Source organism: Homo sapiens, chromosome 11 (assembly GCF_000001405.40).
Source record: "Homo sapiens chromosome 11, GRCh38.p14 Primary Assembly".
Taxonomy (NCBI): Eukaryota; Metazoa; Chordata; class Mammalia; order Primates; family Hominidae; genus Homo; species Homo sapiens.
In genome coordinates this window covers 18642759-18670091 of record NC_000011.10, presented here as the reverse complement: position 1 = coordinate 18670091, position 27333 = coordinate 18642759, and the positions used below count along the sequence as shown (strand labels likewise).

The window sequence follows — 27333 nt, the reverse complement described above, 5'->3', positions numbered from 1 at the left end:
TGACATCAGGTCTAGATGGTTCTAAAAATCAATATTTACTTCTGCTTCCCAGAGCAGCCACAGCTGGGGGGAAAAAGCTGTAGAGGGCAGGGAGAGGGAGTGGACAACATTCAGCTCCCTAAGCCAGCGCTTCCCCTCTCTCCTCCCATTGGTCAAGTGACATCACAGCTGGCGGAGTCGACATTGATATCCAAGGTGCTTTATGGACTAGCAACCCAGCTCCAGGTTGCACTTACAACCTCTTATGTCTCCACATCTAAGGGAGAGTAAATCTGTCTGATAAATCCCTGGGAGTTACGTCATTGATTAAAGGCTATGTGCATCTCTTCTTTTGATATTAATCCAAAGAGGATGCACCAGTCTCTACTCACATAGTATTTTCTCACACTTTCACAACAGAGTACTAGTAATCTTTTTTGATATTTTAATTTTTGCCAGTCTGAGAGATGCAGCTGGAGACTGCAATATTCTAAACCTCCCCAAATTGCTCCCGGGGATAACATCTTAGGTTACAGTAAAACCTAAGATCAGTGCTTGAGATAGTTTGCAGATCCTGTACTCGATGGATCAGCTGACACCACCCAGATCAATAAACTGGCTCATCTGGTCTTGTGGCCCCCACCCAGGAACTGACTCAGCGCAAGAGGACAGCTTCAGCTCCCTATGATTTCATCTCCAACCTGACCAATTAGCATTCCCCACTTCCTGAGACTCTACCCACCAAATTAACCTTAAAAACTCCAGTCCCTGAATTTCTGTGACCAGTCTCTGCTCTACATAGTATTTTCTCACACTTCCACAACACAGTATTAGTAATCTTTTTCATATTTAAATTTTTGCCAATCTGAGAGATGGAAAAGAACTCATTTTAGGTTGACTAATTCAATTATGAGTAGGACTATGCATTTTTTTCTTTTTCTTTTTTTTCTTTGTTTCTTTTTTTCTGAGGCAGAGTTTCACTTTTGTCCTCCAGGCTGGAGAGCAATGGCACGATCTTGGCCCACTGAAACCTCCGCGTCCCGGGTTCAAGTGATTCCCCTGCCTCAGGCTCTTGAGTAGCTGGGATTACATGTGCCCACCACCACGCCCAGCTAATTTTTTGTATTTTTAGTAGAGATGGGGTTTCACCGTGTTGGCCACGCTGGTCTCGAACTCCTGACCTCAGGTGATCCGCCTGCCGGAGCCTCCCAACGTGCTGGGATTACAGGCGTGAGCCACTGCGCCCAGCCCGTCTTTTCTTGTTTATTAGCCATGTATAAGCTGTTTGTCTGTGAGCTGCCTGTTCCTGTCTTTTGCTAATTTGATTTGAGATTCTGCATGAGGACCTAGAGCGGCCCCAAAGTCCCACACCCGTCCGCTCTTCTCTCCCCACTATCAGCCCCTCCCCCTGCTCTGCTCGGTTCTCTACTGCTGCCTAGTGACAGGGGTTAGTCTTACCACAGGCCTCACAGACGCAACTACTGCCTGCCTCTCCCTGAGGATAAATTTCCTGCTGGAATCATGCCCTTGATTCCTAGGTGGGATTGCCAGGTGTAGTTAATAAGAATGCAGGACCTCCCGTTAAGTTTTTAGGATTGCCAGGTTTAGTTAATAAGAATGCAGGATCTCCCGTTAAGTTTGAATTTCAAACAAGCAAGTACCTTTTTAGTTGTGACATACTTTTATCCAAATTTAACTGAGTGTCCTGTAATATATCTGGCAACCCTATTCCAAGGCTTCCCATTAAATTTCAGTCCCCACCCTCCACCATTCCTCACTGGCTCTCATTCTCAGCAAGTTCCATTCTACTACATTCCTCCCCAGTGGTTTCCTAAATGGCACGGTTAGGCGGTACATGAATCACCGTTGTTAAGACCTTGTCTCTGGCTCAATCCTGGGTTTGAATCCTAGCTCCAAACACTTTGCTAATTTCTTTTAAAACTGTATCTAGTCAGAACTTAATCATTTTATTGCATATGTTTTTACAGTTGCCTTCTATTTAAGTCGAGTGATAGTGAATTCCCAGATTTCTTTTTAAAACAGATTTAAGGCCAGGCACGGTGGCTCACGCCTGTAATCCCAACACTTTGGGAGGCCAAGGCGGGTGGATCACGAGGTCAGGAGTTCAAGACCAGCCTGGCCAAGATGGTGAAACCCCATCTCTACTAAAAATACAAAAATTAACTGGGTGCAGTGGCAGGCTGAGGCAGGAGAATCGCTTGAACCCAGGAGGCAGAGTTTGCAGTGAGCCAAGATCGCACCACTGCACTCTAGTCTGGGCGACAGAGCAAGACTCCGTCTCAAAAAAAAAAAAAATGAAAAAAAAATTTAATCTTTAAAAACCTGAAGAAAAGGGATTGAATAGTACAGATAATAAGTGGAAATGGCAAAAGTCATAAGGCAGCTTCTGAAATGATTAAAGTTTGGGAAATACTGTCCTGTTCCCATCCTGGGAGTCAACACAGATCAGCACAGTGCTGACTGAAATAATGTGCTCCTTTTGTAGCAGGACAAGCTGTAGACAAAACCCCTCAGACACTGAGTTAAAGAAGGAAGGGCTTTATTCGGCCAGGAGATCGGCAAGACACATATCCAAAAAACCAAGCTCCCGAGTGAGCAATTCCTGTCCCTTTTAAGGGCTCACAACTCTAAGGGGGTCCACATGAGAGGGTCGTGATCGATTGAGCAGGTGGGGGTACGTGACTGGGGGCTGCATGCACTGGTAATCAGAACGGAACAGAACAGGACAGGGATTTTCACAATGCTTTTCCATACAATGTCTGCAATCTATAGATAACATAACTGGTTAGGTCAGGGGTCAATCTTTAACCAGGCCCAGGGCACGGTGCCAGGCTGTCTGCCTGTGGATTTCATTTCTGCCTTTTACTTCTTCTAGTTTTTACTTCTTCTTTCTTTGGAGGCAGAAATTGGGCATAAGACAATATGAGGGATGGTCTCCTCCCTTACTTTATGTGGCCCTGGTTTCAGGAGGAACCTTCATAACTCAGAGGGTGCCCAGGGGAGGAGGGAAAACTCAAGCATATATAACTGTTTCATTTGGGGGCTGTGGCAGTGTAACGACTCAACAGGTTTTCCTTGCCTGCTGCCTAGACAAAGCTGATGCATCAAGACAGGGGAACTGTGGCCAGGCGTGGTGGCTCATGCCTGTAATCCCAGCACTTTGGGAGGCTGAGGTTGGTAAATCACAAGGTCAGGAGTTCGAGACCAGCCTGGCCAACATGCTGAAACCCCGTCTCTACAAAAAATACAAAAAATTAGCCAGGCGTGGTGGCAGGCTCCTGTAATCCCAGCTACTCAGAAGGCTGAGGCAGAGAATTGCTTGAACTCAGGAGGCAGAGCTTGCAGTGAGCCAAGATCTCACCTCTACACTCCAGCCTGGGTGACAGAGCGAGACTCCCTTTACTTTACTTTCTTAATAATTTACTTAATTCCTTTACTTTCTTAATAAACTTGCTTTCACCCCGTCTCAAAAAAAAAAAAAAAAAAGAAAAGACAGGGGAATTAGAATACAGAAGGAGTTTAATTCATGCAGAACTGGCTGTATAGGAGACCAGAATTTTATTATTGCTCAAATTAATCTCCCCAAAATTTCAGCAATCTGAATTTTTTTTTCTAATACTTTATTAATTCAAAAGCACTTTACGAGAAAATATAAGTATGGCTTCCAATAGGAATGTTATACCTGGACTTGGTACCAAGCTCAGCTCACAGATTTGAGTTTGCAAGGAAAAACAGGCTTTCAAGTTAAACAACAATTTGTAACCAAAACTTTAATCCCAAGGATTCTCACAAAACATATTACAAATGACAGCATGAAAAAAAAATCTTGCACAGTAACTCAAAGTTCGGCTCTACAATGTATCCTTAAACTGGCAGGACATTTTTGAAATCTCAAATTTGCACATAAAAAATGTCACGAACAGCCATGTATTCATATACAGCAATCAAATAAGTAACTTATGACCTAAAGCAAAGGCAAACTTTCTTGAAACTTAACAGATTCTATACCAACTAGGCAACCTCTGCCCAGGATGAAAGTGAGTTGGATTTTTCAAAAACCTGTAATTTAATAGTGCAGCGTTTATTTTTACCTGATGGCTTGTGTTTCACAGCAGTTTTTAAAGACTGCTTGTTCAACTATAGCTGCATCCTATATCCCAGCTACGGAAAAAAAGTAAATCTTAGTTCAATTTTTGCCAGTTGCTTCTGTATTAAAAAAAAAAAATCACACTTCTGCTGGGCAGGTTTAGAGGTTTATTGTCAGTCTATGCGTAACTAAAGTTCAAAGCAAATTCAATCTTGCTTAAGGGAACATTGTAAAGTAACAATTCTTGGTATTACATGCCTCATATGATCCATTTCAAACCATAGAGAATTACACCTCTGTGTCACTGATTCCAGAGACAAACAGATTTGAACAGCTAAAACATCTTAAAAATGCACCAAGCTTATGAAGTCTCAAACAAAACTTGAATTTTCTGTACATACTCCTGTCAGATGAAGTAATTTCCTGTACACCACTTCTCTTGCAAACTGTCTTCTATTTCCTTTCATTTGACCTAGATCGGCTACGAGACCTAGAGAAGGATCGGGACGGCTTGTGATTTCTCTCCCGAGACAGCGACCTCTCTCTTCTCCCATCTCTAGAAAGGGACCTGCTCCAGCTGTGAGAGAAGCTTCTCCTTCTTGGAGATCTGCGACGAGGTGGAGGACTACTCCTACGATAATCATCTTGAGGGCGACGACCCCAGGAGGGAGGTGGGCCATGATTTCTACTTCTTTTTTCACCATTGGACAGTTCCACTCTTACACAGCAGCCACATAGTGTTCTTCCATTTAGCTCTCGGGGATGGAACTGCATCAGCCGCATCTCGGGGATCTTCAAATTCAACAAAAGCAAAGCCAGATGGGTTTCTAGCAACCCACACACTTTGGAGTGGTCCATAGTAGCCAAAAGCCCGTTCCAATTCGGTCTTGTTGCCATTGTTTCCAAGATTGCCTACATAAACCTTTCAGTCCAACGGACAGGAATCACGATGCATTTCGAGATCTAGGGTTAAAAAATGTGGTGGCTCAAATCCACATGCTCCGATGGGCCTTCCTGCTTTCCTCCGGCCCAACACCCACCAATGCTCTCACTCACCCGGCTTCCATGAAATGGCTCCTGAATTTTATTTGATTTTATTTTATTATACTTTAAGTCTAGGGTACATGTGCACAATGTGCAGGTTTGTTACATATGTATACATGTGCCATGTTGGTGTGCTGCACTCATTAACTCATCATTTACATAGGTATATCTCCTACTGCTATCCCTCTCCCCTCCTCCCACCCCATGACAGGCCCTGGTGTGTGATGTTCCCCACCCTGTGTCCAAGTGTTCTTATTGTTCAATTCCCACCTATGAGTGAGAACACGCGGTGTTTGGTTTTCTGTCCTTGCGATAGTTTGCTCAGAATGATGGTTTCCAGCTTCATCCACATCCCTACAAAGGACATGAACTCATCATTTTTTATGGCTGCATAGTATTCCATGGTGTATATGTGCCACATTTTCTTAATCCAGTCTATCATTGATGGACATTTGGGTTGGTTCCAAGTCTGTGCTATTGTGAATTGTGCTGCAATAAACATACGTGTGCACGTGTCTTTATAGCAGCATGATTTATAATCCTTTGGGTATATACCCAGTAATGGGAAGGCTGGGTCAAATGGTATTTCTAGTTCTAGATCCCTGAGGAATCACCACACTGACTTCCACAATGGTTGAACTAGTTTACAGTCCCACCAACAGTGTAAAAGTGTTCCTATTTCTCCACATCCTCTCTAGCACCTGTTGTTTCCTGACTTTTTAATGACTGCCATTCTAACTGGTGTGAGATGGTATCTCATTGTGGTTTTGATTTGCATTTTTCTGATGGCCAGTGATGATGAGCATTTTTTCATGTGTCTATTGGCTGCATAAATGTCTTCTTTTGAGAAGTGTCTGTTCATATCCTTCGCCCACTTGTTGATGGGGTTGTTTGATTTTTTCTTGTAAATTTGTTTAAGTTCTTTGTAGATTCTGGATATTAGCCCTTTGTCAGATGAGTAGATTGCAAAAATTTTCTCCCATTCTGTAGGTTGCCTGTTCACTCTGATGGTAGTTTCTTTTGCTGTGCAGAAGCTCTTTAATTAGATCCCATTTGTCAGTTTTGGCTTTTGTTGCCGTTGCTTTTGGTGTTTTAGTCATGAAGTCCTTGCCCATGCCTATGTCCTGAATGGTATTGCCCAGGTTTTCTTCTAGGGTTTTTATGGTTTTAGGTCTAACATTTAAGTCTTTAATCCATCTTGAATTAATTTTTGTATAAGGTGTAAGGAAGGGGTCCAATTTCAGCTTTCTACATATGGCTAGCCAGTTTTCCCAGCACCATTTATTAAATAGGGAATCATTTCCCCATTTCTTGTTTTTGTCAGGTTTGTCAAAGATCAGATAGTTGTAGATATGTGGCATTATTTCTGAGGGCTCTGTTCCATTCTATTGGTCTATATATCTGTTTTGGTACCAGTACCATTCTGTTTTGGTTACTGTAGCCTTGTAGTATAGTTTGAAGTCAGGTAGCGTGATGCCTCCAGCTTTGTTCTTTTGGCTTAGGATTGACTTGGCAATGCAGGCTCTTTTTTGGTTCCATATGAACTTTAAAGTAGTTTTTTCCAATTCTGTGAAGAAAGGCATTGGTAGCTTGATGGGGATGGCATTGAATCTGTAAATTACCTTGGGCAGTATGGCCATTTTCATGATATTGATTCTTCCTATCCATGAGCATGTAATTTTCTTCCCTTTGTTTGTGTCCTCTTTTATTTCATTGAGCAGTGGTTTGTAGTTCTCCTTGAAGAGGACCTTCACATTCCCTGTAAGTTGGATTCCTAGGTATGTATTTTATTCTCTTTGAAGCAATTGTGAATGGGAGTTTACTCATGATTTGGCTCTCTGTTTGTCTGTTATTGGTGTATAGGAATGCTTGTGATTTTCGCACATTGATTTTGTATCCTGAGACTTTGCTGAAGTTGCTTATCAGCTTAAGGAGATTCTGGGCTGAGATGATGGGGTTTTCTAAATGTACAATCATGTCGTCTGCAAACAGGGACAATTTGACTTCCTCTTTTCCTAATCGATTACCATTTATTTCTTTCTCCTTCCTGATTGCCCTGGTCAGAACTTCCAACACTATGTTGAATAGGAGTGGTGAGAGAGGGCATCCCTATCTTGTGCCAGTTTTCAAAGGGAATGCTTCCAGTGTTTGCCCATTCAGTATGATAGTGGCTGTGGGTTTGTCATAAATAGCTCTTATTATTTTGAGATACGTCCCATCAATACCTAATTTATTGAGAGTTTTTAGCATGAAGGGCTGTTGAATTTTGTCAAAGGCCTTTTCTACATCTATTGAGATAATCATGTGGTTTTTGTCGTTGGTTCTGTTTATATGCTGGATTACGTTTATTGATTTGCATATGTTGAACCAGCCTTGCATCCCAGGGATGAAGCCCACTTGATTATGGTGGGTAAGCTTTCTGATATGCTGCTGGATTTGGTTTGCCAGTATTTTATTGAGGATTTTTGCATCGATGTTCATCAAGGATATTGGTCTAAAATTCTCTGTTTTTGTTGTGTCTCTGCCAGGCTTTGGTATCAGGATGATGCTGGCCTCATAAAATGAGTTAGGGAGGATTCCCTCTTTTTCTATTGATTGGAATAGTTTCAGAAGGAATGGTACCAGCTCTTCTTTGTATGTCTGGTAGAATTCGGCTGTGAATCTGCCTGATCCTGGACTTTTTTTGGTGGGTGGGCTCTTAATTATTGCCTCAATTTCAGAGCCTGTTATTGGCCTATTCAGGGATTCAACTTCTTCCTCGTTTAGTCTTGGGAGGGTGTATATGTCCAGAAATTTATCCATTTCTTCTAGATTTTCTAGTTTATTTGTGTAGAGGTGTTTATAGTATTCTCTGATGGTAGTTTTTATCTCTGTGGCATCAGTGGTGATATCCCCTTTATCATTTTTTATGTGTCTAATTGATTCTTCTCTCTTTTCTTCTTTATTAGTCTTGCTAGCAGTCTATCAATTTTGTTGATCTTTTCAAAAAACCAGCTCCTGGATTCATTGATTTTTTTGAAGGGTTTTTTGTGTCTCTATCTCCTTCAGTTCTGCTCTGATCTTAGTTATTTCTCGCCTTCTGCTAGCTTTTGAATGTGTTTGCTCTTGCTTCTCTAGTTCTTTTAATTGTGAAGTTAGGGTGTCAATTTTAGATCTTTCCTGCTTTCTCTTGTGGGCATTTAGTGCTATAAATTTCCCTCTACACACTGCTTTAAATGTGTCCCAGAGATTCTGGTATGTTGTGTCTTTGTTCTCCTTGGTTTCAAAGAACATCTTTATTTCTGCCTTCATTTCGTTAAGTACCCAGTAGTCATTCAGGAGCAGGTTGTTCAGTTTCCATGTAATTGAGCACTTTTGAGTGAGTTTCTTAATCCTGAGTTCTAATTTGATTGCAGTGTGGTCTGAGAGACAGTTTGTTATGATTTCTGTTCTTTTACATTTGCTGAGGAGTGCTTTACTTCCAACTATGTGGTCAATTTTGGAATAAGTGCAACGTGGTGCTAAGAAGAATGTATATTCTGTTGATTTGGGGTGGAGAGTTCTGTAGATGTCTATTAGGTCCGCTTGGTACAGAGCTGAGTTCAATTCCTGGATATCCTTGTTAACTTTCTGTCTCGTGGATCTGTCTAATGTTGACAGTGGGGTGTTAAAGTCTCCCATTATTATTGTGTGGGAGTCTAAGTCTCTTTGTAGGTCTCTAAGGACTTGCTTTATGAATCTGGGTGCTCCTGTATTGGGTGCATATATATTTAGGGTAGTTAGCTCTTCTTGTTGAATTGATCCCTTTACCATTATGTAATGGCCTTCTTTGTCTCTTCTGATCTTTGTTGGTTTAAAGTCTGTTTTATCAGAGACTAGGATTGCAACCCCTGCTTTTTTTTGTTTTCCATTTGCTTGGTAGATCTTCCTCCATCCCTTTATTTTGAGCCTATGTGTGTCTCTGCACGTGAGATGGGTCTCCTGAATACAGCACACTGATGGATCTTGACTCTTTATCCAATTTGCCAGTCTATATCTTTTAATTGGAGCATTTAGCCCATTTACATTTAAGGTTAATATTGTTATGTGTGAATTTGATCCTGTCATTATGATGTCAGCTGGGTATTTTGCTGGTTAGTTGATGCAGTTTCTTCCTAGCCTCGATGGTCTTTACAATTTGGCATGTTTTTGCAGTGGCTGGTACCAGTTGTTCCTTTCCATGTTTAGTGCTTCCTTCAGGAGCTCTTGTAAGGCAGGCCTGGTGATGACAAAATCTCTCAGCATTTGCTTGTCTGTGAAGGATTTTATCTCTCCTTCACTTATGAAGCTTCTTTTGGCTGGGTATGAAATTCTGGGTTGAAAATTCTTTTCTTTAAGAATGTTGAATAGTGGCCCCCACTCTCTTCTGGCTTGTAGAGTTTCTGCTGAGAGATCAGCTGTTAGTCTGATGGGCTTCCCTTTGTGGGTAACCCGACCTTTCTCTCTGGCTGCCCTTAACATTTTTTCCTGCATTTCAACTTTGGTGAATCTGACAATTATGTGTCTTGGAGTTGCTCTTCTCAAGGAGTGTCTTTGTGGCGTTCTCTGTATTTCTGAATTTGAATGTTGGCCTGCCTTGCTAGGTTGGGGAAGTTCTCCTGGATAATATCCTGAGGAGTGTTTTCCAACTTGGTTCCATTCTCCCTGTCACTTTCAGGTACACCAATCAGATGTAGATTTGGTCTTTTCACATAGTCCCATATTTCTTGGTGGCTTTGTTCATTTCTTTTTACTCTTTTTTCTCTAAACTTCTCTTCTCGCTTCATTTCATTCATTTGATTTTCAATCACTGATACCCCTTCTTCCATTTGATCGAATCGGCTACTAAAGCTTGTGCATGCATCAGATAGTTCTCGTGCCATGGTTTTCAGCTCCATCAGGTCATTTAAGGTCTTCTCTATGCTGTTTATTCTAGTTAGCCATTCATCCAATCTTTTTTCAAGGTTTTTAGTTTCTTTGCAATGGGTTGGAACATCCTCTTTTAGCTCAGAGAAGTTTATTATTACCGATCTTCTGAAGCCTTCTTCTCTCAACTTGTCAAAGTCATTCTCTGTCCAGCTTTGTTCCATTCCTGGCGAGGAGCTGCATTCCTTTGGAGGAGAAGAGGCATTCTGATGTTTAGAATTTTCAGCTTTTCTGCTCTGGTTTCTCCCCATCTTTGCGGTTTTATCTACCTTTGGTTTTTGATGATGGTGACGTACAGATGGGATTTTGGTGTGAATGTCCTTTCTGTTTGTTAGTTTTCCTTCTAACAGTCAGGTCCCTCAGCTGCAGGTCTGTTGGAGTTTGCTGGAGGTCCACAGCAGACCCTGTTTGCCTGGGTATCACCAGCAGAGGCTGCAGAACTGCAAATATTTCTGCCTGATCCTTCCTCTGGAAGCTTCGTCTTAGAGGGGCACCTGGCCGTATGAGGTGTCAGTCGGCCCCTACTGGGAGGTGCCTCCCAGTTAGGCTACCCACTTGAGGAGGCAGTCTGTCCATTCTCAGATCTCAAACTCTGTGCTGGGAGAACCACTACTCTCTTCAAAGCTGTCAGACAGGGACATTTAAGCCTGCAGAAGTTTCTGCTGCCTTTTGTTCAGCTATGCTCTGCCCCCAGAGGTGGAGTCTAAAGAGGCAGGCAGGCCTCCTTGAGCTGCAGTGGGCTCCACCCAGTTCGAGCTTCCCGGTGGCTTCGTTTACCTACTCAAGCCTCAGCAGTGGCGGGTGCCCCTCCCCGAGCCTCGCTGCCGCCTTGCAGTTCGATCTCAGACTGCTGTGCTAGCAGTGAGCAAGGCTCTGTGGGCGTGGGACCCTCTGAGCCATGCGCGGGATATAATCTCCTGGTGTGCCGTTTGCTAAGACCATTGGAAAAACATGGTATTAGGGTGGGAGTGACCGGATTTTCCAGGTGCCATCTGTCATGGCTTCCCTTGGCTAGGAAAGGGAATTCCCCAACCCCTTGCGCTTCCTGGGTGAGGCATCACCTCGCCCTGCTTCGGCTCACAGTCTGTGGGCTGCACCCACTGTCTTGCACCCACTGTCTGACAAGCCCCAGTGAGATGAACCCAGTACCTCAGTTGGAAATGCAGAAATCACCTGTCTTCTGCGTTGCTCATGCTGGGAGCTGTAGACTGGAGCTGTTCCTATTTGGCCATCTTGGAACCAATCAATCTGAATTTTTAAGAATAATTTGGTGGGTAGAGGCTCGGGAAGTGGCGAATGCTAATTGGTCAGGTTGGAGATGAAATCATAGAGAGCTGAAGCTGTCCTCTTGCAGTAAGTCAGTTCCTGGGTGGGGGCCACAAGACCTGATGAGCCATTTTATTGATCTGGGTGGTGTCAGCTGATCCATCGAGTACAGGATCTGCAGACTATCTCAAGCACTGATCTTAGGTTTTACTGTAACCTAAGATAATACCCCCAGGAGCAATTTGGGGAGGTTTAGAATCTTGCAGCCTCCAGCTATTGGACTCCAAAGCTATAATTTCTAATCTTGTGGCTAATTTGTTAGTCCTGCAAAGGCAGTCTAATCACCTGGCAGGAAGAGGATTTATTTTGGGAAAGGGCTGTTATTGTCTTTGTCTTAAAGTTAACCTATAAACTAAGTTCCTCACAAAGTTAGTTCAGCCTACGCCTAGAAATGAACATGGACAGCTTGGAGGTTAGAAGCAAGAAAGAGTCAGTTAGGTCAGATCTCTTTCACTGTCATAATTTTCTCAGTTATAATTTGTACAAAGGTAGTTTCAGTGATGAGAATGTCAGAGACATATTTTGAACCAGAGCAACTCCATCTTGAATAGGGGCTAGGCTGCATTCCCAGGTGTTAGGTATGCTTAGTCACAGGAGGAGATAGGAGGTTGGCACAAGATACAGGTCACAAAAACCTTGCTGATAAAACAGGATGCCATAAAGAAGCCAGCCAACACCCGCCAAAACCAAGATGATGATGAAAGTGACCTCTGGTTGTTCTCACTGCTAATTATACACAAATTGTAATACATTAGCATGCTAAAAGACACTCTCACCAGACCCATGACAGTTTACAAATGCCATGGCAACATCCGGAAGTTACCCTATATAGTCTAAAGAGAGGAGGAACCCTTGGTTCCCGGAAATCCCTGCCCCTTTCCCGGAAAATACATGAATAATTCATCCCTCGTTTAGCATACAATCAAGAAGTAACTATAAGTGTACTCAGCTGAGCAGCCCATGCCACTGTTCTGCCAAAGGAGGAGCCATTCTTTTATTCCTTTACTTTCTTAATAAACTTGTTTTCACTTTACTCTATGGACTCACCCTGAATTCTTTCTTGCACATGGTCCAAGAACCCTCTCTTGGGGTCTGGATTGGGACCCGTTCCAGTAACAAGAAGACCTAAGTGAGACAGGGAGATGTCTTTATATGGTGATGGGGAAGGGTATAGGAAGTACAGAAGACAGAAGAGGGGACAGCCAGAGCAGGTGGCTTCAGAGCACAGCTCCTGGAGCAAAGAAAGGATGGAAGGAGGCAGAGGGAGGTTTTTGACCCAAGAGAAGTAAGAATTTTTCAGTGGTGAGAAAAGGAAACTTTTGGCCAGGTGTAGTCTCACATCTGTAATCCCAGCACTTCAGGAGGCTGAGGCAGGAGGATCTCTTGAGCCCAGGAGTTTGAGATTGGTTTGGGCAACATAGCAAGATCCCATCTCTACTAAAAATAAAAAAAATACACCAGGCACGATGGCTCACACCTGTAAATCCCAGCATTTTCAGAGGCCAAGGCAGGTACATCACCTAAGGTCAGCAGTTCGAGACCAGCCTGATGAATATGGTGAAACCCCACCTCTACTAAAATTACAAAAATTAGCCGGGCATAGTGGGGTGCACCTATAGTCCCAACTACTTGGGAGGCTGAGGCAGGAGAATCGCATGAACCTGGGAGGCAGAGGTTGCAGTGAGCCAAGATCGTGCCACTGCACTCCAGCCTGGGCAACAGAGTAAGACTGTGTCTCAAAAAAAATAAAATAAAATAAAATAAATGGCTGGGCACAGTGTCTCATGCCATAATCCCAGTACTTTGGGAGGCCGAGCAGCTGGCAGATCACCTGAGGTCAGGAGTTCAAGACCAGCCTGGCCAACATGGTGAAACTCGGTCTCTACTAAAAATAAAAAAAATGGCCAGGCATGTCTGGGTGTGGTGGCTCATGCCTGTAATCTCCAGCACTTTGGGAGGCCGAGGCAGGTGGATCACGAGGTCAAGAGATCGAGACCATCCTGGCTAACACGGTGAAACCCTGTCTCTACTAAAAATAGAAAAAATAGTCAGGCATGGTAGCGGGCACCTGTAGTCCCAGCTACTCAGGAGGCTGAGGCAGGAGAATGGTGTGAACCCAGGAGGCGGAACTTGCAGTGAGCTGAGATCATGCCACTGCACTCCAGCCTGGGCAACAGAGCAAGACTCTGTCTCAAAAAAAAAAAAAAAAAAAATTGGCCGGGCATGATGGCAGATGCCTGTAGTCCCAGCTACTTGGGAGGTTGAGGCAGGGGAATAGCTTGAACCCAGGAGGTAGAGGTTGCAGTGAGCCAAGATCCCACCACTGCACTCCAGCCTGGGCAACAGAGGGAGACTCTGTCTCAAAAAAAAAAAAAAAAAAAAAGGTGGTGGGGGGGCCAGGTGAGGTGGTTTACACCTGTAATCCCAGCACTTTGGGAGGCCGAGGCGGGAGGATCACGAGGTTAGGAGTTCAAGACCAGCCTGTCCAACATGGTGATACCCCATCTCTACTAAAATACAAAAAATTAGCCAGGCATGGTGGTGCATGCATGTCATCCCAGCTACTCGGGAGGCTGAGGCAGGAGAATCACTTGAACTCAGGAGGCAGAGGTTGTGGTGAACAGAGATCATGCCACTACACTCCAGGCTGGGCGACAGAGCAAGTCTCCATCTCAAAAAAAAAAAATTAAAAAAATTAGTCTGGCATGGTGGCGTATGCCTGTAGTCCCAGCAATCGGGAGGTTTAGGTGAAGAAAAAGAAAAGACACTTTCATCCTTGGGGTTGTTTGAGCACAGAGCCAAGTGATCACATGTCAGAGCTTCTCACAGTCCTTTTTTTTTTTGGATTTTTAGTGAAGATGGGGTTTCACCATGTTGGCCAGGCTGGTCTCAAACTCTTAACCTCAGGCGATCTGCCCAAAGTGCTGGGATTACAGGCATGAGCTACCGTTCCCGGCTTTCTCAAAATCCTTAAACCCAAAAGTCTATGATTCTTATTTTAAAATTCCAGGTGCTTCTCTTTCTAGGCTGGAGAGATATTCCCCTAAAGTCAATTCAGGTTCATAGTTGAATTCCTGTCTACGGATTCTAGGAAGGCAGCAGAATAAGGATCTTTGAGGTTTAAAAGCCTTTTTTCTTTGCTTTCTCTTCTTTTAAAAAAGGGAGGGGGGCTGGATGTGGTGGCTCATATCTGTAATCCCAGCACTTTGGAAGGCCAAGGCAGGTGGGTCACTTGAGCTCAGGAGTTCAAGACCAGCCTGGGCAACATGGTGAAACCCCATCTCTACAAAAAAAATACAAAAATTAGCCAGGCATGGTGGTGCATGCCTGCAGTCCCAGCTACTTGGGAAGCTGAGGTGGTAGGATCACCTGAGCTGGGAGAGTTTGAGGCTACAGTGAACTAAGACTATACACCACTGCACTCAAGCCTGGGTGACAGAGCAAGACTCTGCCTCAAAAAAAAAAAAAAAAGAAAAGAAAGAAAAAAGGGAAAAAAAAGAAAAGAAAGCATGGTTAATACAAGTTGAAACATAGTAGTTAACTAGCAGTTGCCTGGCGCAGTGGCTCACAACTAATCCCAGCCTTTTGGGAGGCCGAGGCGGGCAGATCACGAGGTCAGGAGATCGAGACCATCCTGGCTAACACGGTGAAACCCCATCTCTAGTACAAATATAAAAAATTAGCCAGGCATGGTGGCAGGTGCCTGTAGTCCCAGCTACTTGGGAGGTTGAGGCAGGAGAATGGCGTGAACCCCGGAGGCAGAGCTCACAGTGAGCCAAGATCGTGCCACTGCACTCCAGCTTGGGTGACAGAGCGAGACTCCATCTAAAAAAAAATAAAAAGTAGTTAATGCTGCATGGTTTGGAGTCAGACTCTGCCTAGATCCAAATCCTTGCTCTTCGGCTGTGTGACTTTGAGCCAGTTGCTTAACATCCCTGTACCTTGATTTTCTTAATCAAGAAAGATTAAGATTTTCTTAATCAAGAGAGAAATAATTCTAGCCTCAAAAATTGCAAGGTTTTTTTTGTTTGTTTTTCTGTTTTTGAGATGGAGTCTCACTCTTGTCGCCCAGGCTGGAGTGCAATGGCGTGATCTCAGCTCACTGCAACCTCCACCTCCCGGGTTCAAGTGATTCTCCTGCCTCAGCCTCCTGAGTAGTGGGATTACAGGAGTCTTGCACCACACCCAGCTAATTTTTGTATTTTTAGTAGAGATGGGGTCTCGCCACATTGGCCAGACTGGTCTTGAACTCCTGACCTCAGGTGATCCACCCACCTCAGCCTCCTAAAGTGCTGGGATTACAGGCATGAGCCACCACGCATGGCTATAAATTGCAAGTATCAAATGAACTAAAATGTAAAGTCCTTAGAACCTTCTAAGGTTTACCCATATTGAACACTCAATAAATGTTTGCTCTCATTAAAAATAAGGGAGGAGCCGGGTGTGGTAGCTCACGCCTGTAATCCCAGCACTTTGGGAGGCCGAAGTGGGTGGATCACAAAGTCAGGAGTTTGAGACCAGCCTGATATGGCGAAACCCCATCTCTACTAAAAATACAAAAATTAGCCAAGCATGGTGGTGGGCACCTGTAGTCCTGGCTACTTGGGAGGCCGAGGCAGGAGAATCGCTTGAACCCGGTAGGTGGAGGTTGCAGTGAGCAGAGATCGCGCCATTGCACTCCAGCCTGGGCGACAGAGTGAGACTCTGTCTCAAAAAAAATAAAATAAAATAGAATAAAATAAAATAAAAGGAGGAAATATGCCCAAAATAAACATGTATATATATTCACCATAACACATGTTCAAGAAGATTCATAGCACCAAACTCATAATAGCTCCAGACTAGAAACAACCCAAATATCCATCGACAGAAAATAGTGATATATTCAGGCAGTGAATACTACACACAATGAGAATCAATAAACTACAACTACACACAGAAATACAGATGAATCTCACAAACATAATATTGAGCAAAAGAAGTCACAAAAGACATATACTGCCTGATTCCATTTATAGAAAATTCAAAACTAGACAAAACAAATCTACGTTGTTAGAAATCAAGATAGTGCTTTTCCTTGGAGTAAGGGTAATGACCAGAAAGAGGCTTCTGTGAGTACTGATAATGCTCTTTTTTGTGATCTGCTTACTGAAGTGTGTTGAATTTGTGAAAATTTATCTGTATACTTTCAATTTGTTCATTTTTAGTATGTTTGTTATACTCCAATTAAATTATTTCCTTTTTTTTTTTTTTTTTTTTTGAGACGAACTCTCACTCTATCGCCCAGGCTGGAGTGCAGTGGCGCAATCTCGGCTCACTGCAAGCTCCACCCCCCGGGTTCACGCCGTTCTCCTGCCTCAGCCTCCCGAGTAGCTGGGACTGCAGGCGCCCACCACTACGCCCAGCTAATTTTTTGTATTTTTAGTAGAGACGGGGTTCACGTGTTAGCCAGGATGGTCTTGATCTCCTGATCTCGTGATCCGCCCACCTCGGCCTCCCAAAGTGCTGGGATTACAGGCGTGAGCCACCGCGCCCGGCCAAATGATTTCTTAAAAGTCAAAAGTGGCAGGGAATAATACGCACAATCTTACGCTCATAAATAACTACCATTGTCATTTTGGAGTGGATTCATCTGGGCAATTTCTACACATATATAAACATATAAATAGGCCAGGTGGGGTGGCTCACACCTGTAATCCCAGCACTTTGGGAGGCTGAGGCAGGTGGATCACCTGAGGTCAGGAGTTTGAGACCAGCCTGGCCAACATGGCGAAACCCTGTCTCTCCTAAAAATACAAAAATAAGCTAGGCGTGGTGGCACACACTTATAATCCCAGCTACTCAGGAGGCCGAGGCAGGAGAAACGCTTGAACCTGGGAGAGGGAGGTTGCAGTGAGCTGAGATCACTGCACTCTAGCCTGGGCAACAGAGCAAGACTCCATCTCAAAAACAAAAACATGTAAATAGATGAGCTTATACTACACTATTATTTTTTTCACCTATCACCTAATTTTTTCACTTATTAATATAAATCTTAAACACTATTTCATGTACAACATTATTCTTAGTGGTTATAGAGTATCACATGTGCATACCACAGTTAATTTAATAAACTCCCTATAGCCAGGCATGGTGGCTCATGCCTGTAATCCCAGCACTTTGGGAGGCCGAGGCGGGCAGATCACCTGAGGTCAGGAGTTTGAGACCAGCTTGGCCAACATGGTGAAACCCCATCTCTACTAAAAAATACAAAAATCAGCCAGGCATGGTGGCAGGCACCTTAATCCCAGCTACTTGGGAGGCAGAGGCAGGATAATCATTTGAACCCAGGAGGCAGAAGTTGCAGTGAGCGGAGATCAAGCCATTGCATTCAAACCTGGGGGACAAGAGTGACACTTCTCTCAAAAATAAAAAATAAAAAAATAAAATAAAAAAAACTCTCTGTAGCTGAACATTTAAGCTATCTCTACATTTTTGCTGTATAAAGAACACTTGGCAACAAGTATTTTTAATTCACTTTTGTACTAGTTTTCCATTATTTTATCCTTGTATTTTTGCTGGGAACTTTTTTTTTTCTTACCTCACTCGTTCTTTCCTCTTCACCCGCTTTCTCCTTGCTTATTCTTCATGCTCAAACATACCTAATTATCTATAAGGGTTTAATTCTTGTTCACTTTACAAAAATAGAATCAGCCAGACACAGCGGCTCAAGCCTGTAATCCTAGCACTTTGGGAGCCCAAGGCAGGGGGATAGCTTGAGGCCAGGAGTTCCAGCAGCCTGGGCAACTCGGTGAGATCACATCTCTATACTAAATAGAGAAATTAGCCAAGTGTGGTGGTACACACCTATAGTCCTAACTACTCAGGAGGCTGAGGTAGGAGAATTGCTTGAGCTCAGGAATTTGAAGTGATAGTGAGCTATGATCTCACTACTACACTCCAGCCTGGGTGATGGAGTGAGATCCTGTCTCTTGAAAAAAAAAAAAATCATAGGCTTTCCTCTGAAATTTCTGGTTTCATTTTGCCAAAGCTCACAGAAGCCCCTCTAGAGCACTTGATATGGCTCTAACATATATTTTAAGTAGCTGCCACAATATCCAGTGGGATGGGTATACCATGATTTTAGTCAATCATTCTCTTATTGAGAACACCCAAGTTATTTCTAGGGCTTAAACATTACAAAAAAATCCTGCAATAAGTGTCATTGTGTGTATGACCTTATGTGCCCATTGCCAATTTATTGCCTCTTCCAAATTCATCCTTTTTGATGGCTCTGTAAATAACAGTTCTGGGCCCTTTAAATATTTTCCTTTGCAAGTGATGCTGAGGCTTTGTCAGTAGAGGGCGCTACAGACATTGAAGGAGAGTCTCTTGCTTCCTGGTTCCTGTGTGCTTCCTTGGCCGTCTCCTTGCAGGCGACTTGGTGTCTTAGTCCTCTGGCTCCTGCAATGCATGGCGGTTCGTGCACCAGCAGCCGCAGCTTCCTCCCGGTACTCTCCCCCAGGGAGTTTTTATAAAAGAGTTCCTACAGTGAGACATCTCCCTGTGAACAGCTTTCCCCAGCACCCTAGAAGACAGATACTTAACACGTTTCAGAGGATGGATTTCCAGTTAGTTCTACTGATTTCTGTCACTTAGTGAGCCACAGCCATGTCCGTTCCAACAAGATCTGGATCTCAGCCGTAGGTCTTCCTTGGATCTTCTATCTCATTTATGGGGTTAGTGGTTGCTTCCTAACCTAACCGCTTCCTTTTTGTTTGTTTGAGACGAAGTCTCGCTCTGTCGCCCACGCTGGAAGGCAACGGCACGATCTCGGCTCACTGCAACTTCTGCCTCCTGGGTTCAAGCGATTCTCTGGTCTCAGCCTCCAGAGTAGCTGGGATTACAGGTATGCACCACCATGCCCCGCTAGTTTTTTGTATTTTTAGTAGAGATGGGGTTTCACCATGTTGGCCAGGCTGGTCTCAAACTCCTGACCTCAGGTGATCCACCTGCGTCGGCCTCCCAAAGTGCTAGGATTACAGACATGAGCCACTACTGCACGCAGCCTGCTTCCTGTATTCTTTAGAATTCTACTTCTTACTAGTCAATCCCTCATTACTCCAATCTTCTGTTATAGTTAATAATTCTTCATGTTAAACTTCTCTGTTTGAATTACTAAGTGGTTTTTCTCTCTTGATTCTACTCAGACTGAGACACTACCTGCCATGTTGCATGGGTGGAGTATGCTATAGTTTTCCTCTATCATTTACCTACTGAAGGCATCCGGGTTGTTTCTAGGTTTTAGCCAATACACATAAATCTGCAATAAATGTCCTTGTACATATAACTTTGTGTACTGGTGGTTTTATGTCTGAATGTTCTATCTCAAAATTGGAATTGCTGCTTCAAGGCACCAAGGAGCTCTCGTCACCAGCCAGACCCATTCTCCTCAGTCCCTGCTTTCACCAAATGGTTTTGTCTTTTACCTGATTAAGAAAATGAAAGTTATCTCATGTGATGGCTGCATGTCCATTTCAAAGTATCTTGGTTTTCATCCTTCCTCTTTCTTTATGCTTTTCTCTAAGGAAAAGTGTCCCTCCCTTCTCCATGCATTCATTTAACTAGCATTTGCTGAGCTCCTTCTATAAGACTGGCCCTGTGCCAGTGGCTACAGATACGGAGATAAACAAGAATTGGTCCCTGCACACACAGTGCCGGTTAACTATCTTGGAGTTTACTTCTTATGGCCTCTCTCTTATCTCTTCAGACACTTTTTTTTTTTTTTTAGATGGACACTCGCTCTGTCACCCAGTTTGGAGTGCAGTGGCGCAATCTTGGCTCACTGCAACCTCCGCCTCCCGGGTTCAAGTGATTCTCCTGCCTCAGCCTCCCGAGTAGCTGGGACTATAGGTGCAAGCAACCACGCCCAGCTAATTTTTGTATTTTTAGTAGACACGGGGTTTCACCATGTTGGCCAGGCTAGTCTCGAACTCCTGACCTCAAGTGATGAGCCTGCCTCGGCCTCCCAAAGTGCTGGGATTACAGGCATGAGCCACCGCACCCAGCCACTTTAGACACTTACTATTGTGTTTTCCCTTCAGCCTGCGTGTGTGCTCTCATCCTTCCTCTGAGGATAGTTTGCCTGGACCCAGCTTCCCTTTCACACTACTGTCCTGACATTTTTCCTTTATTGCCAGACTTCCCAGTGGTGGCCTTGGCTCACTGCCCCCGCTGTTTCTCATCTCATTTTCTCTTTGTCTCACGTGTCCCTGTGAAGAGACCACCAAACAGGCTTTGTGTGAGCAACAAGGCTGTTTATTTCACCTGGGTGCAGGTGAGCTGAGTCCGAAAAGAGAGTCAGCAAAGGGTGGTGGATTATCATTAGTTCTCATAGGTTTTGGGATAGGCGGTCAAGTTAGGAACAGTGTTTTGTGGGCAGGGGGTGGATCTCACAAAGTACATTCTCAAGGGTGGGGAGAATTACAAAGAACCTTCTTAAGGGTGGGGAGATTACAAAGTACATTGATCAGTTAGGGTGGGGCAGGAACAAATCACAATGGTGGAATGTCATCAGTTAAGGCTATTTTCACTTCTTTTGTGGATCGTCAGTTACTTCAGACAGTCTGGATGTATACGTGCAGGTCACAGGGGATATGATGGCTTAGCTTGGCCTCAGAGGCCTGACATTCCTGTCTTCTTAAATTAATAAGAAAAATAAAACAAAATAGTGGTAAAGTGTTGGGGCGGCGAAAATTTTTGGGGGTGGTATGGAGAGATAATGGGCGATGTTTCTCAGGGCTGCTTCGAGCAGGATTAGGGGTGGTGTGGGAACCTACAGTGGGAGAGATTCAACTGAAGAAAGATTTTGGAGTAAGGGGTGATATTGTGGGGTTGTTGGAAGGCGCATTTGTCATATAGAATTATTGGTGATGGCCTGGATGCGGTTTTGTATGAATTGAGAAACTAAACGAAAGACACAAGTTCCGAATAAAAGAAGGAGAAAAATAGGTATTAAAGGACTAAGAATTGGGAGTACCCAGGACGTCCAATTAGAGAGTATCCAAAGGGGTTCAATGTTATTGTTTGCTTGATTGGCAAGTTTTTGGGCTCTATCCTTGAGATTTTTTTATGTTGTCATATACCAGGCCAGATTGATTTAGGTAAAAACAACACTCTTCATTTAAAAATATACAAAGTTCTCCTTTTTCAGCAGTGAGTAAATTGAGGCCTCAGCAATTTTGGAGGAAAGAGAAATGCAAAGCCAGCAACTGTTTGTTAAAGAAGGATTAGAAATGGCTAGGAGAGAGTGAGATTGATAGTGTGGTGGAGATAGCTGGGAGAGGTAGAGGGTGGAATAAGAACGGGAACCAGAATAAGAGTGAGTATAAAAGTAAAGAATAGGACTTCATCACGGTGAAAGTATTGGAGTGTACTTTGTCACTGAAGATCTTCTATCCACTTAAAGAGAGACTTAAGGGTGGCAGTTTGAGGTAAAACCAGGTGCCACTGAATACCAAGAGCCTGAGAAACTGAGGTGGGAAGGCCAAACTGAGGAATTATGTCTGACAGAAGGGAAGAATTGACCACGGTGGCCTTCTCAGACCCTGTGGGAAAGGCCTCTACCCATCCAGTGAAAGTGTCTACCTAGACCAGGAGGTATTTTAGTTTCCTGACTCGAGCATGTGAGTAAAGTCAATTTGCCAGTCCTGGGTGGGGGCAAATCCACGAGCTTGATGTGTAGGGAAGGGAAGGGGCCTGAACAATCCCTGAGGAGTAGTAGAATAGCAGATGGAACAACGAAGAAGTGATTTCCTTGAGGATAGATTTCCACAATGGAAAGGAAATGAGAGATTCTAAGAGGCGGGCTAGTGGCTTATAACCTACATGGAAGAGGTTATGAAATGACAATAGAATAGAATGGGCCTGTGAGACTGGAAGGAGATATTTTCCTTGGTGCAAGAACCATTTGCCTTGTGTGGGAAGAGACTGATAGGTGGAAGTTTCAATGGAGGAGTAGGTGGGAGTGACCAGATGAGAAGGAGAAAAACTGGCCGTGAGGGACAGAAGTTGGAAAGCTAGCTGCTTTTTTAGCTACCTTATCAGCATAAGCGTTGCCCTGAGTGATGGGATCTGATGCCTTTTGATGGCGCTTGCAGTGTAAGACTCCAGCTTCCTTTGGAAGTAAAGCGGCCTTGAGAAGAGTTTTTATTAAAGAGGCATCAATGATGGAGGACCTTGTGTAGTAAGGAAATCTCTTTCAGCCCATATAACAGCAAAGTGGTGCAGGATATGGAAGGCATATTTAGAGTCAGTATAAATATTGACGCCTAGTCCTTTTGCAAGAGTGAGGGTTGGAGTTAAGGCAATGAGTTCGGCTTGCTGAGAGGTAGTGGAGGGGGGCAGAGCAGTAGCCTCAATGACAGATGTGGAATATACTATAGCATACCCTGCCTTTGCTGGTATGTGGTGATTAGTCCTGGTGGAACTGCCATCAATAAACCAAGTGTGATCAGGGTGAGGAACAGGAAAAAAGGAAATATGGGGAAATGGAGTGAACATCAGGTGTATCAGAGAGATGCAGTCATGGGGGTCAGGTGTGGTATCAGGAATAATGAGAGAGGCTGGATTGAAGTCCAGGCCAGGAACAATGGTAACTGTGGGAGACTCAACAAAGAGTGAGTACAGCTGAAGGAGCTGGGGAGCAGAAAGTATATGTGTCAGGTGTGAGGAAGAAAATAGATTTTGGAAGTTATGAGACTGTAGAGAGTGAGTTGAGCATAGTTTGTGATGTTGACGGTGTCTGAAAGTATTAGGGTGGCAGCAGCCACTGCACAGAGACATGATGGCCAGACTAAAACAGTAAGGTCAAATTGTTTGGACAAAAAGCCTACAGGGCATGGTCCCGGCTCTTGTGTAAGAATTTTTACCACACAACCCTGTACTTTGGCTCTATGTAATGAAAGGGGTTGGGATGAGTTGGGAAAGCCAGCGTGGGGGCAGCTTCTAGGGCTGTTTTTAAGGAACAGAAAGAGGAGTGGTGAAAGGATTTAGGAGCTATGGAGTTAGCTAGGTTTGGTTTTGTGAGTTTATATAATGGTTTTGTTAGGATGGCAAAACCAGGTATCTAAAGGCGAAAGTATCCTACCATGCCCAGTAAGGAAAGGAGTTGTAGTTTTGTAGAAGGGGCTGGGGTTTGGGAGATTAGCTGGACACGATCAGCAGGGAGAGCACGTGTTTTCATGAAGAATCATGTCGAGATAGGTAATGGATGAGGAAGAAATTTGGGCTTGACTGAAGTAATGGGGGCTGTCCACGAAGGCTTGTGGCAGTACAGCCCAGGTAATTTGCTGAGCCTGATGGGTGTCAGGGTCAGTCCAAGTGAAAGCGAAGAGAGGCTGGGATGAAGGGTGCAAAGGAATAGTAAAGAAAGCATGTTTGAGATCCAGAACAGAATAATGGGTTATGGAGGGGTTGTGGAGGGAGGTATTGAGCATAGGAGAGTATATGGCTTTGGCACCATGGGGTGGATAGGTAAGACAATTTGATTGATAAGGCACAGATCCTGAACTAACCTGTAAGGCTTGTCCGGTTTTTGGACAGGTAAAATGGGGGAATTGTAAGGAGAGTTTATAGCCTTTAAAAGGCCATGCTGTAACAGGCAAGTGATAACAGGCTTTAATCCTTTTAAAGCGTGCTGTGGGATGGGATATTGGCGTTGAGCAGGGTAGGGGTGATTAGGTTTTAATGGGATGGTAAGGAGTGCATCATTTGTCGCCAAGGAGGGAGTAGAGGTATCCTATACTTGTGGATTAAGGTTGGGGGATATGAGAGGAAGATGCGAAGGAGGCTTTGGGTTGGGAAGAAGGGTGGCAATGAGATGTGGCTGTAGTCCAGGAATAGTCAGGGAGGCAGATAATTTAGTTAAAATGTCTCGACCAAAAAAGGGAACTGGGCAGGTGGGGATAACTAAAAAGGAGTGCATAAAAGAATATTGTCCAAGCTGGCACCAGAGTTGGGGAATTTTAAGAGGTTTAGAAGCCTGGCCGTCGATACCCACAACAGTTATGGAGGCAAAGGAAACAGGCCCTTGAAAAGAAGGTAATGTGGAGTGGGTAGCCTCCCTATTGATTAAGAAGGGTACAGACTTACCCTCCACTGTGAGATTTACCTGAAGCTCAGCATCCGTGATAGTTCAGGAAGTTTCCGAGGCGATTGGGCAGCATCACTCTTCAGCCACTAAGTCGAGAAGATCTGGGAAGGAGTCAGTCAGAGAGCCTTGGGCCAGAGTTCCAGGGGCTCTGGGAGTGGCTGCTGGGTGAGTTGGACAGTCTGATTTTCAGTGGGGTCCCACACAGATGGGACACGTCTTAGGAGGAATCGCAGGCTGCGGGCATTCCTTGGCCCAGTGGCCAGATTTCTGGCACTTGCAGCAAGCTCCTGGGGGAGGAGGTTCTGGAGGAACCCCTGGCAGCTGTGGTTCAGGCATCTGAAAGTTCTTTGTGCTAGAGATGTGGCTGGGGTTTGTCTCACAGTGGAGGCAAGGAGTTGCAACTCAGAAATACATTGCTACTTGGCTGCCTCTACTATATTACAGTACACGTTGAAGGCGAGGTTAATTAAGTCCTGTTGTGAGGTTTGAGGGTTGGAATCTAATTTTTGGAGCTTTTTCTAATATTGGGAGCAGATTGGGTAATAAAATGCATATTGAGAATAAGACGGCCTTCCTCTGGGGTCTAGGTCAGTAAAGCGTCTAAGGGTTGTTGCCAAATGGACCATGAACTGGGTTTTTATATTTGATGAAAAAAAGCCTAAATGCTAACTGATTTGGAAGAGGTCAGATAAAGAAAAAAGGAGCATTAACCTTGACTATGCCTTTAGCTCCAGCCACCTCTTTAAGAGGAAATTGTTGGACAGGTTGGGGAGGGCTAGTTGTGGAACGAAACTGTAAGCCAGACTGGGTGTGAGGAGGGGAGGTGATAGAAAGATTATAGGGTGGGGGAGCAGAGGCTGAGGAAGAATTGGGACCTGGCTTGGCCTGGTGAGGAGCAGCCTGGGGAGAAGGAGAGAGGTCAGATGAGTCCGTAGAAAAGAAGGATTCACAGGACTCAGAGCTTGGGGTGGAGACTGAAGGAACAGACAGGAGAGAAAGAAGAAAGATTTGGGACACGTCTCAATGGGAGCAGAGACTCGGAAGGGACCAACGTGTAAAAGAATGCCTGGATGTCAGGCACCTCAGACCATTTGCCCATTTTTTGACAAAAATTATCTAGGTCTCGTAGGATGGAAAAATCAAAAGTGCTGTTTTCTGGCCATTTAGAACCATTGTCAAGTTTGTATTGGGGCCAAGCGGTGTTGCAGAAGAAAATAAGATGCTTAGATTTTAGGTCAGGCGAGAGTTGAAGAGGTTTTAAGTTCTTGAGAACACAGGCTAAGGGAGAAGAAGGAGGAATGGAGGGTGGAAGGTTGCCTATAGTGAAGGAGGCAAGTTTAAAGAGAAGGGTAGAGACACGGAGAGGGGGGTTGGGGAGCAGCCCTGGGCTGCAACGTGGGCGAGCAGCCAAAGCAGGTGTCCCCACAATTGACTTGCCACCAAGGGAATGTGGGTGAATGACCAAGGCAGGCATCCCCATAGAGATCAGACACCAATGGAACGTGGGTAAATCATCAGAGAGGCGTCCCCGCAATGATTAAACACCAAGGGAAGGCTGCCTTCCCGAGTCTATGACTGGCGCCGGAATTTTGCCTCCACAGATAAAATGTGTCTCCTTTGTCTCTACCAGAAAATGAAAGGAATTGAAAATAAGAGAAGGGAGAGATTGAAGGGTGGCGCCAAGATTGAAAGGAGAAAGAGGTCAAAGGATAGTGAGAGAAGTTGGAGAAGAGAGTAAAAATAGGCCGCTTACCCAATTTAAAATTGGTGAGATATTCCTTGGGCTGGTTGGTCTGAGGACCCGAGGTCGTAGGTGGATCTCTTCACGGAGTAAGGGTGAGGACAGGGGACTGGTCTTCCGAAGGAGTCCCACTGACCCGGGTCTTCGGCACCAAATGTTTCATGTGTCCGTGTGAAGAGACCACCAAACAGGCTTTGTGTGAGCAACATGGCTGTTATTTCACCTGGGTTCAGGTGGGCTGAGTCCGAAAAGAGAGTCAGCAAAGGGTGGTGGATTATCATTAGTTCTCATAGGTTTTGGGATAGGCAGTCGAGTTAGGAACACTGTTTTGTGGGCAGCGGATGGATCTCACAAAGTACATTCTCAAGGGTGGGGAGAATTACAAAGAACCTTCTTAAGGGTGGGGAGATTACAAAGTACATTGATCAGTTAGGGTGGGGCAGGAACAAATCACAATGGTGGAATGTCATCAGTTAAGGCTATTTTCACTTCTTTTGTGGATCGTCAGTTGCTTCAGGCGATCTGGATGTATACGTGCAGGTCACAGGGGATATGATGGCTTAGCTTGGGCTCAGAGGCCTGACACTCTTCTCCCCTTGTAACCTGGGCTCTGCACTGCCCCCTCCCATACTCTACTGAAACTACTGTCTAGGAAATCAACAATTAACTACAAATCTCAGTCCAAAGGACCCTTCTCATGCTTCATGGCGCTCAACATCTCTGCACTTCAGTCCTACTGAATTCCTTTTCCTCCTCCCCCTTCTTCTCCTCTTCCTCCTCCTCCTTCTCCTCCTCCTCTCCCTCCTCCTCTTCCTCCTTTTCCTCTTCAAAAAGTATTGTATCCTTACTTTAATTGCAAATGACAGAAAACCTAACTCAAACTAATTTTTATTTTTTTGAAACAGGGTCTTACTCTGACACCCAGGCTGGAGTGCAGCAGCCAAATCTCGGCTCACTGCAACTACTGTCTCCTGTGTTCAGGCGATTCTCCTACCTCAGCCTCCCAAGTAGCTGGCATTACAGGCTCCCACCACAACACCTGGCTAATTTTTGTATTTTTAGTTGAGACGGAAATGTTGA

At 44.4% G+C, this 27333-nt stretch overlaps 1 pseudogene, besides 4 other annotated features; it reads right to left on the bottom strand.

Moving 5' to 3' along the window:
- Positions 1135–1636: an enhancer, noted in NCBI's record as "H3K4me1 hESC enhancer chr11:18690003-18690504 (GRCh37/hg19 assembly coordinates)". NCBI's record gives its function as "activates a minimal SCP1, AML or CMV promoter by ChIP-STARR-seq in primed H9 embryonic stem cells {active_cell/tissue: H9 hESC(primed)}" and the evidence as "EXISTENCE:reporter gene assay evidence [ECO:0000049][PMID:30033119]".
- Positions 2864–3064: a silencer, noted in NCBI's record as "peak1228 fragment used in MPRA reporter construct". NCBI's record gives its function as "represses an SCP1 promoter by STARR-seq MPRAs in K562 erythroleukemia cells {active_cell/tissue: K562}" and the evidence as "EXISTENCE:reporter gene assay evidence [ECO:0000049][PMID:32103011]".
- SRSF3P1 (SRSF3 pseudogene 1) lies at positions 3608–5162 on the bottom strand (annotated as a pseudogene).
- Positions 19606–20325: an enhancer, noted in NCBI's record as "H3K27ac hESC enhancer chr11:18671314-18672033 (GRCh37/hg19 assembly coordinates)". NCBI's record gives its function as "activates a minimal SCP1, AML or CMV promoter by ChIP-STARR-seq in primed H9 embryonic stem cells {active_cell/tissue: H9 hESC(primed)}" and the evidence as "EXISTENCE:reporter gene assay evidence [ECO:0000049][PMID:30033119]".
- Positions 20326–21046: an enhancer, noted in NCBI's record as "H3K27ac hESC enhancer chr11:18670593-18671313 (GRCh37/hg19 assembly coordinates)". NCBI's record gives its function as "activates a minimal SCP1, AML or CMV promoter by ChIP-STARR-seq in primed H9 embryonic stem cells {active_cell/tissue: H9 hESC(primed)}" and the evidence as "EXISTENCE:reporter gene assay evidence [ECO:0000049][PMID:30033119]".